Genomic DNA, 16135 nt, shown 5'->3' with positions numbered 1-16135 from the left:
AGGTACTCGAATGTTTGTTGGATGAATAAAAATACACAAGCTTATCTACCACTGTTGATCTTTTTTTATGAAGTAAAAAACTTTTAGTATAAAACCATTCTTGGGCATTCCTATGCTAACATATTAGCATACATTATGCTAATGTCTGTTAAGTAACAGCAGGCAGATTACTAAATTCAGCATGTCCATGACAAATCTTTTTTTCAACTTATTATTTAGGTGTGGTATCTCAAAGAGAACTTTAGTGATAAACCCACCTTTTTCTTTTACTAACTTCCAGGAATATTAGTGACCATTTACATTATTCAGGTAAGCAAGTCAAAACCCCAAACAGCCAGAAAGTCAATTCCCCTTCCTCAAAAAATTAGAGAACAAAATGGTTTAAGAGCATGGGTCAGCAAACTTTCTGCAAAGGACTAGAGAGTAAATAGTTTGGGCTCTGTGCAACATACACAGTCCCTGTATTTTATTATAACCCTTTAATAATGTAAAAATCATTCTTAGCTCCTGGACATTAAAAAAAGGCAAAAGACTAGATTTGACCCACAAGTCACAGTTTGCCAACCCTGGTTCAGGGAAATGTCTTGAGTACTTATTTGGGTGCTATGGGCTATGTACACCTAAGAAAGGAATAAAAGACAAGTAACTCTGAATATAGTATAGTATGAAGACAGCGAGTTCTCAAATTTTTCCTGAGTTACAAAAGTATAGTGTTTTATGTTTGAAAAGCTTATATTAGGATGAACATTTTTCAACGTATTTCAAAGCAAACCAGTAAACCAGTAAGTGAGAGACTTCTGGATAATCCTCCTATTATTAAATTCCCTTCATAACAGTTAATCCTACATTCATTATTATCTTTAAAAAAAAGAGAAGAAAAATCAGAAGAAAAAGGAAAAATCAAAGAGTACCTCATACAGAAGCATATGCTTACTCTTCAGATAAAGTTTTTTAAATGAACTCTGCAAAATTTTTAGAATTTTCACCTGCTACTATGTTTCCAGAACGTGCCACAACCTTGAATCCATCAGCTACTTTGTCTACACTATCTCCATGTGTAAGCAAAACAACTTCTTCCTTCTGAAGGCCCCTAAACATACAAAAAATAAAACACACAAATATCTTAATTAAAAACATGATTCATGGGTTCTTTTGTTTTAGAAACACAAGCTTGCCATACATGATTAGAAAAACAGAAAAAAAAAAAGTGACAATGGAATACTGCTAGAATTCAAATATTATGTCCATTACAAATAAAGCCAATAAAAAACCTTAGACCTTAAAAAAGGCAATCCATAAAAATTGGAAGGAAACTAGAACAAATAAATATATGAAGTTGGTAGTATAACCAGACACACAGGAATAATTTCAAGAGATTACAGAACAATAATTTCAACATTATATATCTGTTGAGATTTATGTTAAGAACAGAGGTATTTCAAAGACCTTAACACTTCATTCGGTAGTCTTATGTAAGTAGTAATAGGACTTAGTACTGAAACTGTTATCCTGTAACTGTAAGTACAATATAGATACAGGCATACTGTAGGTTAAAACAAATAATTAGTAATCAACATTTTCAGCTTAAGAGTAGGGAGATACAAAATCAAAAGAGTTAGGTAAAAACCCTATAATCTTTCATTTTAACTGGAAATAAGTATACACTAATGATTCTGTTTCCCAATTCTAAAAGACTAGGTACTGCCCAACTCTGTTATCTGAAAGTCCTAGAAACAATTACAACCCAGTACCAATGTGGACCTCTAGTGCCAAACAAATTAATGAAACTTAGTTAAGTAAGTGTTACTTAAGAGACTTAAGTAACATTAATCAAATGTAATGTGTACACTTTCTCTGGACCCTGATTCAAACAAATCAACCATAAAAATATACTGTTTACGTTATGGAAAATCTGACTAAGAACTCGATATTAAATAATAATAAGGAACGGCCAGGCGCGGTGGCTCATGCCTGTAATCCCAGCACTTTCGGAGGCCGAGGCAGATCACCTGAGATCGGGAGTTCAAGACCAGCCTGGCCAATATGGTGAAACTCCGTCTCTACTAAAAACACAAAAAATTTTGCCTGTAATCCCACTTACTTGGGAGACTGAGGTGGGAGAATCACTTGAACCCGGGAGGTGGAGGTTGCAGTGAGTCGAGATCTTGCCACTGCACTCCAGCCTGGGCGTGCGACAGAGTGAGACTCCGTCTCAAAAAAAAAATTAAATTAAATTACAAAATAAATAATAAATAATACTAAGGAATAAAAATGTAAATTAAAAATAAAGCAAGAAGATAAAGTACATTAATGTCAAAAAGATATTTTGGGGTTTGTTGTTGACATTGTTGTTTAGGAATAGTATAGGTTGTGATAGAGTCCCAGAATTTTAGAACTAGAAAGACAGAAAAATGTCAAATCTTAACCAAATCTTTATGTTTAAAGCTTCTTCTGGTATATCACATACAAGATTCCTGAAATGTTTCTCAAGATGAGTCACATGAAATAAGGATGAATGTAAGTGTCAACACCTCTCCATTATGAAGCTGAACAAGCACTGGATTTCAAACTCATTTTGACAATGAGTAACTTCAGTTTAAAAAATTATTTTGAGCAACCTTGGCTTTTTTATTAATCTTCCTTTGAAAAATAATAATCTTCGGCAGGGTGCAGTGGCTCACACCTGTAATCCCAGCACTTTGGGAGGCCGAGGTGGACAGATCACGAGGTCTAGGAGTTTGAGACTAATCTGGCCAATATAGTGACACCCTGTCTCTACTAAAAATACAAAAATTAGCCGGGCGTGGTGGTTCATGCCTGTAGTCCCAGCTACTCGGGAGGCTGAGGCAGAAGAATCGCTTGAACCCAGGAGGCGGACGTTGCAGTGAGCTGAGATGGTGCCACTGCACTCCAGCCCAGGTGGCAGAGGGAGACTCCGTCTCGAAAAAAAAAAAAGAAAAAGAAAAATAATAATCTTTAAAAACAGATCAAAGAGTGAAAAGGGAAAATACAAATGTTGGTATCACAATATACGATTCCAAGTAGGGTTCCACAACTGCACAGGCGTTTTCAAATTTCTTAAATACCTTCCTTATTCCCTATTAACATCACCACCAACCCACACTGTCTTGACACTCAACTGGAAGGCAAATATGACAATTACACTTGTGGTCACTACTATACCCTTAATTTTGTTTATGAATTATAGAATCTCCAATTGTTAAAAATAATAGTATCAACTTTAAATTAGTTAATTACTATTGTTCTTATTCATCTAAAAATGTAATACCTGAATAATGAACATGTATTATCCACACTAATGTTGAAAACTCCATCTTCTCTGACACTTTTTTTGTGCACAGTACCTCCAAATACCTTATTCATCATCTGTTCAAAGAAAAAAATTAATGTTAATAGAAATCAAAAGAAAAATACCCATTTTGTTATACTGATTTAATAATTTATATTATTTCTTTTCAGAATACCTGATATACCTGTATCCCCAAAATAAAAGGAGTTTAATAAATGTAGACCATTTGGTATTGTTATATATAACTATACAGTTATTAACAGGCATTGTTATAAAACAAAATTGGATTCAAAATTTGACCTGCAGTTAATTTCTGTCAAACACTGGCAGATTTTCCACTTAGTGTACTTTAATGAATTCATCTGCTTAAAAATAGAGATATCTTAATTACTTACACCTGAGTTTGATTTAAAAGCATTTTAAAAGGTATTCTGAGTTTAGAAAAAGATACAGCAGACAACAAGAACCTTGTACCAGAACAAGAATTAGACAATACATTTTTCCAAGCTATTTAGTCTTTGGCTCCAAAGGAACAGTCTGAAAGCCTGCCGAAGGCTGTGCTATAGAGATGGGATAAGCAAGAAAATCTGGCCTTTCAGTTAAGCTCATCTGTTCAAGTCCCATACGCTTATCGACTGATTTCAAATGGTCTCTTCAATTCAGCACCTCCACTGTTAATCAATCTTCTTTTCTTATTTATCATTTACATGCTCCAAACTTCCCATATCAGATAAATATACAGAAGATTTTTGCAAACATTAGATCTGCAGTGATATAAACACTCCCACTCATCTTAGTGCATCTGTTCCACAACAGATATCAGAAGATATCTGCCTTAACAATGTGTAATGCAGGTTGACCCATCCCCTGACAGAAAATAAGACAGATGACTTAAATAAATGTTCATTCTTATAACTCAGAGTAGCATATTCTTCAAAACCATTAGCAAATGGTGCCCTCTACATTCTCCTCTTAGGCATTCACAGTAAACTGTCCCACAATAAAGGTTTGAACTCACTCCAGCAGTAAAGACACCTGCTAGCACTTGTTTAACACAGTATTTGTCAAACTAAAGACTCAAAAACAAAACTCTCTTCTGTAGCACATTAACTAATATGCAATTTAAGAAACATTGCTACAGTCTAATCATTTCCCTTGACTCTAGTCTTGCCCATCTTCCAGCAATATTCTAGAGACCTACCAATGTTAGCTACTACAATATAAAGATGATTGTGTTAGTCTATGATTAAATTCTTCATTAGCCCTCTAGCATCTACAGCAAGGGTTGGTAAATTTTCTTAAAGGGCCAGAGAAAAATATTGGCCTCTGCAGGCCCTACTGTGTCTGTAGCAACTATTTAGCTCTTGCCACTGCAGCTCAAAAGCATCCATAGACAATACTTACAAAGAAATGGGTGTGACTGTTGCAATAAAACCTTATCATGGACACAGACTTGAATTTTATTTTTCACACATCACAAAATATAATTTTTATTCAATTTCCCAATCATTTAACAATGTAAAAAATCATTCTTTGCTTGCAGGTCATGCAAAAACAGGTGGTAGGCCAGATTTGGTCTATAGGCCATAGCTTACTGATGCCTGGTCTACAGGATAAAATCCAAGTTCCTTATATTAAACACAAGACTTCCTTACTTGGCCCTTGTCTAATTTTTGGATTCACCTTCCCCCTCATTTCCTACTCCAGTCCATTCAAACTAAAGTGATTATCAAAATAGACTATGTTCTCTCCTCCATGTCTTCAGGTCTCTTCACAGCCCAAGGGCCCTAGCAAAGTATGTGGCCAGTATGGATTCCTGGATAAACCCCAAGGTTCTAACTGCCTCAAAGAAAGCCATATAGTACTCCAGGTCTACCACCTAATCAGATCATCTCCTCTTATCTTTCTTATATGTCAAAGTTTTATAAGTTTTAGATTGGGAAGGGAGAAAGGGAAGGAAATTCTGCCCAATAAAAATAATTTGACAAAATCTTGTGGGAGTATATAAAGAAGCCAAGTGAAACCATAAAGAGTGAAGAGACAAGTCACAATCCAGAAGGTATCTGCAATATATATAGTTGGGAAAAGTTTAGTATCCAGAATATATAAAGGCTCCCACAACACAATAACAAAGACAATTTAATATAAAAATGAACAAGTGTCTATAGTAAACACAAATGGCAAATAAACGTATGAATCTTACAATAACAAGGAAAATTAACTTTAAGACTACAACGTGACCCCCATTTAATACCTTTGCAGATAAGAAAATACAAAAAAAAAAAATCTAATCATGTCAAGGGTTGGCAGGGATATAGAGCAGAAGATTTTTTATATATTGCTGTGGGAACATAAACTGAGGGAAAAAATATCATTTACCTAGTGAAGCTGAAAATGTACATTATGACCCAGCATTCCTACGGCCAGTTACCCTAGAGAAAATTTTGTGTATGTATAACACCAGAAAACAAGTAAAAAAATATTCATGGCAATATTGTCTATAATAGAAAGAAACTAGAAAGCCAACATTATGAACACTGGAATGTAAAAGTAACATGCTATATTCAAACAAATTCAATAGTGAAAATGAATAATTTACAATAAAATGTACTAACATGAATGAATCTCAAAACCAAAGTTGAAAATAATACAGGTAGTATGACTTCACTTATATATAGGTCAATCGGCAAAACTAATATATTATTTAGGAATATAAACATATGCATAAAGCCATAAAAAAAAGAAAGGGAATGAATAACAAAATTCAGGAAAGTTGGTCACCTCTGATAGGAAGAGAAGAATGTGAATGGAGACATACAAAGTTTCAAAAGCTCTACCAATATTCTATTTTTTAGGCTGGGGGATGTAAATCAGTTAAGAGATATAAAGGGAGCAGTATAGACATTTTTCTTCTAAAGCAAAGAATCACCAGGAAGCAATTAGAAAGCCTCTGACAGGAGAGTCCAGTTAGTGGGAAAAGATGGTATATAAGACACTGAAATTGCTCAAATTTCAGAATGTCATGGGGGGCAAAGGTATACACTTAGGTCCTAAAATTACCCAACCTAGTCACTAAGTGGCAGTCCTTTACAAACACACGTTAGCTAGACGGCATCATCTATATCATTATTTTATGGAAGGACAAATTCTGCCCAAATAACCAAGATCAGCATATCCCATTATCTTACTACAAAAGTTCAGCTGATAATAAAGGCAAAAATTGTTATGCATTTAACATCAGCAGGCCTGGCTTTGGCTATAAAACATCCTAGTGAATGACAGAACAATTTGGCCTTATAATTATATCAGGAAACTGACATAATGGGGAAACACTAAGCCATTATCTCTTAAATTAAAGGAGCATTTTTCAGACGTATTTCACTATAAGTAGGCCTTAAAAATATATCTTGTGAGATTCTTCCTTAGGAAATGTTACAAAGCCTCTCAATATACTAACAACCATTTAATATAACTATAAGTTGTGCTATATGATTAACACTGAGTACTCTGACAAAGAAAATCAATAAATTATATAAATATATTACACCTTGGGACAAAAAAAAAAAAGAAGCCAGCCAATATCCAATATTCAACTCAATCAGGGTGCAGGCTCTTCTAAGACTACTAGATGGAAAAAAATCTTTCTTTTTGCCAAGTCAAACTCATAATCAAACACTTTTCAAAGAACTTTGAAAGGAAAGAAGAGGCTTTTACTGTAAAATGCAAAATTGTACACCCACTTTGGAACACAGTTTTGGCAGTTTCTTACAAAACTAAACATACTCTTAACAACTTAGTAATTACTCTCCTTAGAATATACTGAAAAAGCTGAACATTTATGTCCACACAAAAACCTGTACATGGATGTTCATAGCACCTTTATTCATAATTACCAAAACTTGGAAGTCACCAAGACGTTAGTAGATGAATAAGTAAACTGTCACTTACTGAATGAGTGAATGAACTGTGATACCTCCATACAATGGAATATTATTCAGTGCTAAAAAGAAATTAGCTACCCAGACTGAAAAGACATGGAAGAACTTTAAATGCACATTACTAAGTGAAAGAAGCCAATCTGAAAAGGCTACATACTGTATGATTCCACCTACATGACATGCTGAAAAAGGCAAAACTATAAAGACGATAAAAAAATATCAGTGGTTGCCAGGATATGGGGGATGAACAGGTAAAGCACAAAGGATTGGGCAGTCGAAAATGTATAATACTACAATGGTAGATATATGTCATTATACATTTGTCCAAAACAATAGAATGTACAAAAATCAAGAATGAACACTAATCTAAACTAAGGACTTTGGGAATAATGATGTGTTGATGTAGGTTCATCAGTTATATCAAATGTATCACTCTGGTGTGGGATGTTGATAATGGAAGAAGCTATGCATGTGTAGAGGTTGGAGGTATATAAGATATTTCTATACCTTCTTAATTTTGCTGTGAACCTAAAACCCCTCTAAAAACAAAGTAATTGAAAAAAAAAAAAGAAAAGAAGAGTATCTTATCTCAAGATCTCAGTAAGTCCCTACTTATTCTTACTTTTTTTTTTTGAGAAGGAGTTTTGCTCTTGTCACTGAGGCTGGAGTGCAACGGCATGATCTCCACTCACCGCAACCTCCGCCTCCCAGGTTTAAGTGATTCTCCTGCCTCAGCCTCCCAAGGAGCTGGGATTACAGTCATGCGCCACCACGCCCAGCTAATTTTGTATTTTTAGTAGAGACGGGGGTTTCTCCATGTTGGTCAGGCTGGTCTCGAACTCCCGACCTCAGGTGATCCACCCGCCTCGGCCTCCCAAAGTGCTGGGATCACAGGCGTGAGCCACTGCGCCTGGCCAAACTTTTGTTATTTTTAATAGAGACAGGGTTTCCCCATGTTGGTCAGGCTGGTCTCGAACTCCTGACTTCAGGTGATCCACCCGCCTCGGCCTCCCAAAGTGCTAAGATTACAGACATGAGCCACCACGCCTGGCCTATTCTTACTTTTGATATAAAACCAAGGCACATATACTTATTAATTAATGTTACAATGGAGACACCCGACAGATACCATCTTACCCAAATAATCCAAGTTAACATCACCTGTCATGCCACAAATCCACACCGTGTGCCTCCTGATAAGATGCTCTGAGAAGCACAGCACCAATTCTGTGATACTCCTGCCAAAAGTTCATAACCTGAATCTAACAATGAGGAATCATCACAGAAACCAAAGTTGGGAAATGTTCTACAAAATAATTAACACGTACTTTTTAAAAATACTTTCAAGCTCATGAAAGAGAAGGAAACACTGAGGAACTATTTCAGACTGAAAGAGTCTAAAGAAACAACAACTAAAAACAACACATAGTCCTGACTGATCTGTGGCCTATAAGGGATATTAATGAGACAAACTGTGAAATGTGAAGGAGTCTGTGGATTAGATTCTAACAATGAGTAAATGTTAACTTTTCTGACCTGGATAGTTGTACTGTGGTTATGCAGTAAGAGTGTCCTAATATTTAGGAAATATAAGTAACAGGGCATCACGTGTGCAACTTTCAAATGGTTCAAAAATGTCAACAACTGGAGTACTGGGTAAAGGTATACAGGAGCTCTATGTACTATTTCTGAAAATTTTATGTAAATTTGCATGTCCAAGGTTTTTTTAAATGGATAGTGTTTTGTTACATGAAACAGTGTACTTACTACTTTGAAAATAGATTCCCTATCAGGCCAGTTCTGCCATACTAGTGTGGCAATTCACATAGTTGTAACATGCACAAGTTATCTCATCCAACTAAGTATCCTAAATATCCTAAAGAGAGAAAATACTAATACAGTATGACTCACAAACAGAATAAAATATAAGTAAGCTTTCAAAACAAATTTGCTGACATACCTGCATACCATAGCAAATTCCAAGAACAGGCTTGCCAATAGTGAATATTGCTGGATCAAACCAGGGAGCATCTTCAGCATACACAGAATTAGGTCCTCCAGAGATGATAATAGCACTGTGATTTAAGGAACAATCAGTGAAGAATCTCTGTTAATTTTTATACAAGGTCTATGCCCTCTCTCCCTTGTACCACTGAGGGAAACAACACAGATCCAGAAATTGCGTTGTTTTTGGTAGAATGTAGCAAATTCTAATTATATCACAGCGAATTGTCATCCTACGTGGTTTAATTATTTTTACTGTACTTTACTGCAATGTTTAGAAGTCTATCAATTCAGCATTTACTTGTTAATAAGCACAAACTTCCAAATAGATAATACCAATGTTTCTATCTGTGATACTTAGCATGGATTTGTTTTACTTGTTTCCTTATCAATGGAAGAAGTACGTAAGAATTCTAGAGATGGTGAAAATACAGGTCTTCTCAGAGCCTAGCAGGTCAAAGAACAACAACTGAAGGTATTATGAAGGCCCTGGATGGCTCAGAGCAAAATACTCTACAACAAAAGACGGCAGAATAGAAAGTATACATTACCCAACTTTGCCTGTTTACAGCATCCACCATCCCCAACAATTTTCCCTGAGCCCAGGAAAGGGAGCTAGTAACACTTCTGCCCCCACATGCCCTGCTCTCAGAAATCAGGTCAGTAGTATAATTTAGCTATCTTATAATTTGCAGAGCATGGGTTAACTTGGGAGTCAAACTACTATAATAAGGGAAAACTGCAAACTGAGGCCTATGTTCCTCTCCTGGCCACTAATACATCTACACTGGCCATGAGTATTCACTCAAAAAAACTTAAACATTTTAATATCAAGAATTTCACAAAAATTCAGATTTCTGGAATTTCTTCAGGGAAAAAAAAATCTGGAAACACTGGGCCTTCACTCCTGCATAACTACAACCAATTGGAATCATAAAGTGGCTTGCACCTTCAAGCTGCACATGCTCTCCAGTTTGCCACACATGCCCACTCACACAATGAAGGTATACTTAGGCCCTTTATTCAATTTAAGGTACTCTCTAACTCACTTTGAGTTTGCAGATAAATCTGACTTATCTGTATTTCAAAGAAAAAGGCATTGTAAAATCTAATAAAAACTTACTTACAAATTTGGACTGCAACACACTTTTTAAATAGTGATTCCCTGTCATATAAAAATATACAAAGTATATTGCTAGATTTATAATACATCCAGAAGAACAATACAACATAAGTCAAATTTATAAAAAAAAAAAAAAAAAAAAAAATCTCAGTAAGGCTGGGCATGGATGCTCAAACCTGTAATCACAGCACTTTGGGAAACAGAGACGGGCAGATTGCTTGAGCCCAGGAGCTCGAGACCAGCCTGGGCAATGTGGCAAAACCCCATGTCTACAAAAAATTTAAAAAAATAAAAACCAAAACAGTGAGAGAAAAAAAAAATACTCAGCAAGCTAGATCATTTTTTAAAAAAACAGCAACTTCAATGAGCTCAAAAGCACCTTTTGAACTTTGTATGGGCAACCTGAGATGTGGTAAACATTTGTTAGTGTGTGTCCTGCAAAAGAGAGATGGAAGACAAGCTACTCAGATGATAAAAATGATATTTAAGATAACAATTCTAAAGGGGGATGGGGTTACCCCTAAGGGTAGATCTATAACCTAACTCCTTAAAAATACAGAAGCTAACGCCAGGCATGGTGGCTCACACCTGTAATCCCAGCACTTTGGGAGGCCGAGGTGCGTGGATCACGAGGTCAGGAGATCGAGACCATCCTGGCTAACATGGCAAAACCCTGTCTCTACTAAAAATACAAAAAATTAGCCGGGCATGGTGGTGGGCACCTGTAGTCCCAGCCACTTAGGAGGCTGAGGCAGGAGAATGGTGTGAACCTGGGAGGCGGAGCTTGCAGTGAGCAGAGATCACACCACTGCACTCCAGCCTGGGTGACAGAGCGAGACTCCGTCTCAAAAAAAAAAAACAAAAACAAAAACAAAAAAAACAGAAGCTAAAATTCTATAAAACACATACTGAATAATCAAGACCTCTAGATTCTATTATATTATATTTAGTTTCACAAAGGATAACCACCATGGGACTGCCCAGTACCCCTTAATCTGCTAAAGAACTCTAGGATATAAGATTCTTAGTGCTATTAAAAAAACAAAAAAGTCATGGACTTAGTTAAGGATAAAACTCAAGTAGTACTTAAACCAATTAAGAAAGTCTTATTTCAACAAATCTTTAAAAGCTAATCACTCTTTGAGCCTTCCATTTCTATCCTGCTATTCTGAAAGTAACCTGCAATCACAAGGCCCAATAAGCCGTAATTCATTCCAAATACCAATTTTATGTATCAGGCAGATCAAGCTTCTAAAAATAGGTGGGCCGCGAGGGGTGGCTCAAGCCTGTAATCCCAGCACTTTGGGAGGCTGAAACGGGCAGATTACCTTAGCTCAGGAGTTCAAGACCAGACTGGCCAACATGGCGAAACCTCATCTCTCCTAAAAATAAAAAAATTAACCAGGCATGGCAGCACATGCCTGTAATCCCAGCTACTCCGGAGGCTGAGGCAGGAGAATCTGCCAGGTTGAACCTGCGAGGCAGAGGCTGCAGTGAGCCAAGATCGCACCACTGCATTCCAGCCTGAGCGACAGAGTGAGACTCCATCTCAAAAAAATAATAAAAAAAAAATAAAAATAGGTAGGTTAAGATGTCTCTCATGTCACAAAATGTTCTAGAAAAGGGGTGGTCAAATAGTTATTTCTACAGAAAGGATTACAGTAATAAAAGCCACAGCAGTATAGTTTCTATTCTCCTACTACATAAGGGAAATTCTAGGTACAAGCTGAACCTAGACACTGTTTATGATCAAGTGACATGAAACACCATTAGATTTCTCTTGCCAAGTATTCAGCTATCCTATTCTAGTATCTGTTTAGTCTGTTAGTTTGCTGGGGATTTTTTGTTTGTTTTGGGTGAGGGGAATGATGGAGCTCTGATTTGACAGAGAGGCATTCAGATTTATCACAGAGTTTTTTGATCCCTCTAAAAAACTAGTTCTTGCTGGTAAATAAAATCAGCTGAATTAGATAAACTCAAGGGTCCCTTATTACTCTAAAATTCCATAGTTTAAAAGAGTCATTTGTTATCTGTATCCTAACACCAGAGCAGAGTTAAATTTAAGCCCGCCTTTTATAATTTCTAATTCACTCTACTTCAGAACCAACAAAACACAGGATAATGCACACATGTCTGTGAAGTCTTTAAAAGTTCTTTTAACCACTTTCACACTGGAAAGACAATTCTTTTAAGAAAAATAAAATTTTAAATTTTGGGAGAAGCATAGTACATCTAATATTAGAGTTTAAGAGCCAATTAAGGACATAAACTACAGTTGCTTGCTTCTACGTAACAGTCTTAATCTAAGAAAAAACAACAATAAAAAAAAAAGCATTAAAAAGCATGACACTGGCCGGGCACGGTGGCTCACGCCGGTAATCCCAGCACTATGGGAGACCTAGGTAGGTGGATCACCTGAAGTCAGGAGTTCGAGACCAGCCTGGACAACATGGTGAAACCCGTTCTGTACTAAAAATACAAAAATTAGCCAGGTGTGGTGGCATCCGCCTGTACTTCCAGCTACTCGAGAGGCTGAGGCAGGAGCATCACCTGAACCTGGGAGGTGGAGGTTGCAGTGAGCCAAAATCGTGCCGCTGCACTTCAGCCTGGGTAACCAAGTGAGACTCCGCCTCAAAAAAAAAGAAAGCATGACATTAACCAAAAATAGTTGTTAAAGGAAGAAACTACATAAGCTGGCTGTTATTTTGACTAGTTCTAAGGGTACAAGCTGTCAAAATTAGCCCATATATTAGATTTAAGAAATCTCCATACTTTAGAAACTAGTCTATTGGGATAGGAAGCAAAAACACTTATTGTACACAGATTTCTTCTCTTTGGAGTATTCTAGCCAACTTCCTACTTTCCTTTGATGAAATGCTTTTAAGTAAATGAATGAATGGCCACAACAGCTACATCTAACTCTGACCCACAAATCCTATAAAACATAAAATACTCAAATGATAAGTTCTTTTAACTGTACAATTAAAATTAATCTTTTTAAACTGAAAGCTTAAATTTTTCCTTTTTCTCCCCAAATCAGAGCCATGGGAAATTTCTCATAAAACCATTCCATATCTTATTTTCGTAGAAAAATTCAGTGCTCAAGAAAATTAATAATAAAATATTCCACAATCTAAGTTCAATCTCCTCATGAAAAGATTAGTGAAAAGTCTACCGGAATCCTTGTTCCTTTATAGCAAATGCTGGTGTTTCCAAGGGGAAAATTTCAGACTGCACGAACAGTTCCCTCACTCTTCGGTCTATGACTTTCCCGTACTGAGCACCAGCATCCAGAATGACAACAGCTCCTTCATAGTGGTGGTGGCCATCCTTAAGGTCTCCTCCAGCATTCTCCAGCTGCAAATATCAATACAAATACAAAGTCTTAATTATGAAAATTAAAGCTACAGTACTTAAAAAAAAATTAATGATCACTGTCAGCTCCAAAAACACATAGGAATGAAAACTTAGGACTTTCTGAGTTACCAATTCAAAATACCCCTTTTAAAGGGAAGATTTTAATATATATCCATGCATGGGCATATATTAAACACTTAAACTTAATAAATCTTACCACTTATTGACTATGTAATATAGTGATCATGTGTATATATATCTTACATGCATGATCTAATGGTAGGATGAGCACACAATCCAGCTGCGCCAAAATATAGTCCTGGTTTATGTTTATTACATGGGCATTATTATTAACAGTGCATCCTTTCAATCTCAAAGTGTCCCAGTTTGGACAATAAGTTATTCGGTCACCCTATCAATAGGCACAACATTTTTATGAGGGATATATACTGATGGGGAAACTAGAAGTTTGACACTAGAGTATAAGCATGGCCAAATTCACTGTTAGGATTTTTTTTGTATTATCTGAGGAAAATGATATATATGCATCTAACTCATAACACTAAGATTTTTAAAAGGCCTTTTAGGCCGGGCGCGGTGGCTCACGCCTGTAATCCCAGCACTTTGGGAGGCCAAGGCAGGTGGATTACCTGAGGTCACGAGTTCAAGACCAGCCTGGCCAACATGGTGAAATCCTGTCTCTACTAAAAATACAAAAAATTAGTTGGGCATGGTGGCGGGCACTGTAATCCCAGCTACTGGGGAGGCTGAGGCAGGAGAATCGCTTGAACCCCGGAGGCGGAGGTTGCAGTGAGCTGATATCATGCCATTGCACTCCAGCCTGGGCAACAAGAGCAAAATTCTGTCTCAAAAATAAATAAAAATAAAAAGACTTTTTAAATCTGATTGCTGTCAGGTATACATGGATAACACTTTTCTGAAAGGTTAATTTGGCAAAATGTCAAGTTTTTAACTGAAATATACCAAAATACTTACCTGGAAGATGCTTCAAAATAATGCAAAAGTAGGTGGCTATGGATGAAACAAGACTGCCCGTGTACTGAAATCACTGAAGTTGGGTGATAGGTACATTAAGTTCATTGTACTCGTCTGGTTTCTATCCTGGGGGTTTTTTTTGTTTGCTTTTTTGTTTGTTTGTATATTTTAAATTTTACATAAAGAAACGCTTTAAAAGTTTGTGTGTACCCTGGAAATCCACTTATAGGAAGCATGTACAGTATAATGCCACTTCAATGTGTCTTATATAAAAGTGCAAAAGTCTGTATGCATGTATAAAAAAGGAAGAGTATGGCTGGCCATACACCAAAATATTAAGAGTGATGAAGTAGTTCATCTAAGTAATGGAACTATAAGTGATTTTATATTTTTATTTCTTTATACTCTTCAATATGTCCTAAATGTTTACAATAAACATATTTAGGGAGGTTTTCTCCCTCTAGTTGTAAAATTTGCAGATAAAAACCTTAAGTCAGTCCTTTAGCCACTTGTGTAATCTTTTCCACCATTCCTCCCTTCTCCATTTATCTGCAAAAAATAAATGCAGGCCTAACCTACAACACCACTATTCCGTCTGCTGCAAAAACGAACAAGCGTTCAGGCATGGTGGCTCACAGCTGTAATCGCAGCACTTTGGGAGGCCGAGGCAGGTGGATCACCTGAGGTCAGGAGTTCAAGACCAGCCTGACCAACATGGAAAAACCCTGCCTCTACTAAAAACACAAAATTAGCCAGGCATTGTGGTGGGCACCTATAATCCCAGCTACTCGGGAGGCTGAGGCAGGAGAATCACTTGAACCCAGGAGGCGGAAGTTGCCGTGAGCCAAGATCACGCCATTGCACTTCAGCCTGGGCAACAAGAGCAAAACTCCATCTCAAAAAAAAAAAAAAAAAAAGTAACAAACAAATCAGTCATCTACAGAGGAGGATTTGTGAGAGGGAGCCAATCCGGTGCCAGAAGAAATTACTCAGGTCATAGAAATGAAGGTTCTGGTCATATGAATATTCAATACCGTAGAAAAGTGAAATCACAGAACAAACTACAACTTTGTCCTTTCAGACCTTTACCCTTAGTATTAATGTATACACATACACACACCCCTTCATGGATTTTCTCTATAATTCCTTAATCTTAACTTTTTAAAAAATATTTTTAAACACTACATTATTGCATAAATTTCTCAGACTCAGTCCCATTATTATCTTTACCATTTTTACCAAATCTAAGTATGCTTTTTTACATTACAGGCAGAGTTCCTGCCTTGCATAATCCTAATATGCACAAATTTCAATTACCATGGTTTATACCAAGGTTTAGTTAATTACCAGTCCCCAACAACATGGCTCAAATTTCAGTTATCATACATTACTGTGAGTAATTATATA

General features: G+C 36.5%; 1 protein-coding gene across 6 annotated transcripts in view; it reads right to left on the bottom strand.

The window, feature by feature from the left end:
* Positions 1–16135, bottom strand: part of GMPS (guanine monophosphate synthase) — a 74591-nt gene that overhangs the window by 36771 nt on the left and 21685 nt on the right. For all 6 annotated transcript variants that reach the window (XM_011513263.3, XM_047449145.1, XM_017007422.2 and 3 more), the window contains 4 exons: positions 13551–13732; positions 9209–9323; positions 3290–3387; positions 987–1090 (listed from right to left, as the gene is read on the bottom strand). In XM_011513263.3, coding sequence (XP_011511565.1) covers positions 987–1090; positions 3290–3387; positions 9209–9323; positions 13551–13732 — 499 coding nt within the window. The remainder of the gene's footprint in view (positions 1–986; positions 1091–3289; positions 3388–9208; positions 9324–13550; positions 13733–16135) is intronic.

Source organism: Homo sapiens, chromosome 3 (assembly GCF_000001405.40).
Source record: "Homo sapiens chromosome 3, GRCh38.p14 Primary Assembly".
NCBI lineage: Eukaryota > Metazoa > Chordata > Mammalia > Primates > Hominidae > Homo > Homo sapiens.
Note: the sequence above shows the minus strand (reverse complement) of the source record. Positions and strands in the feature narration are given on the sequence as shown.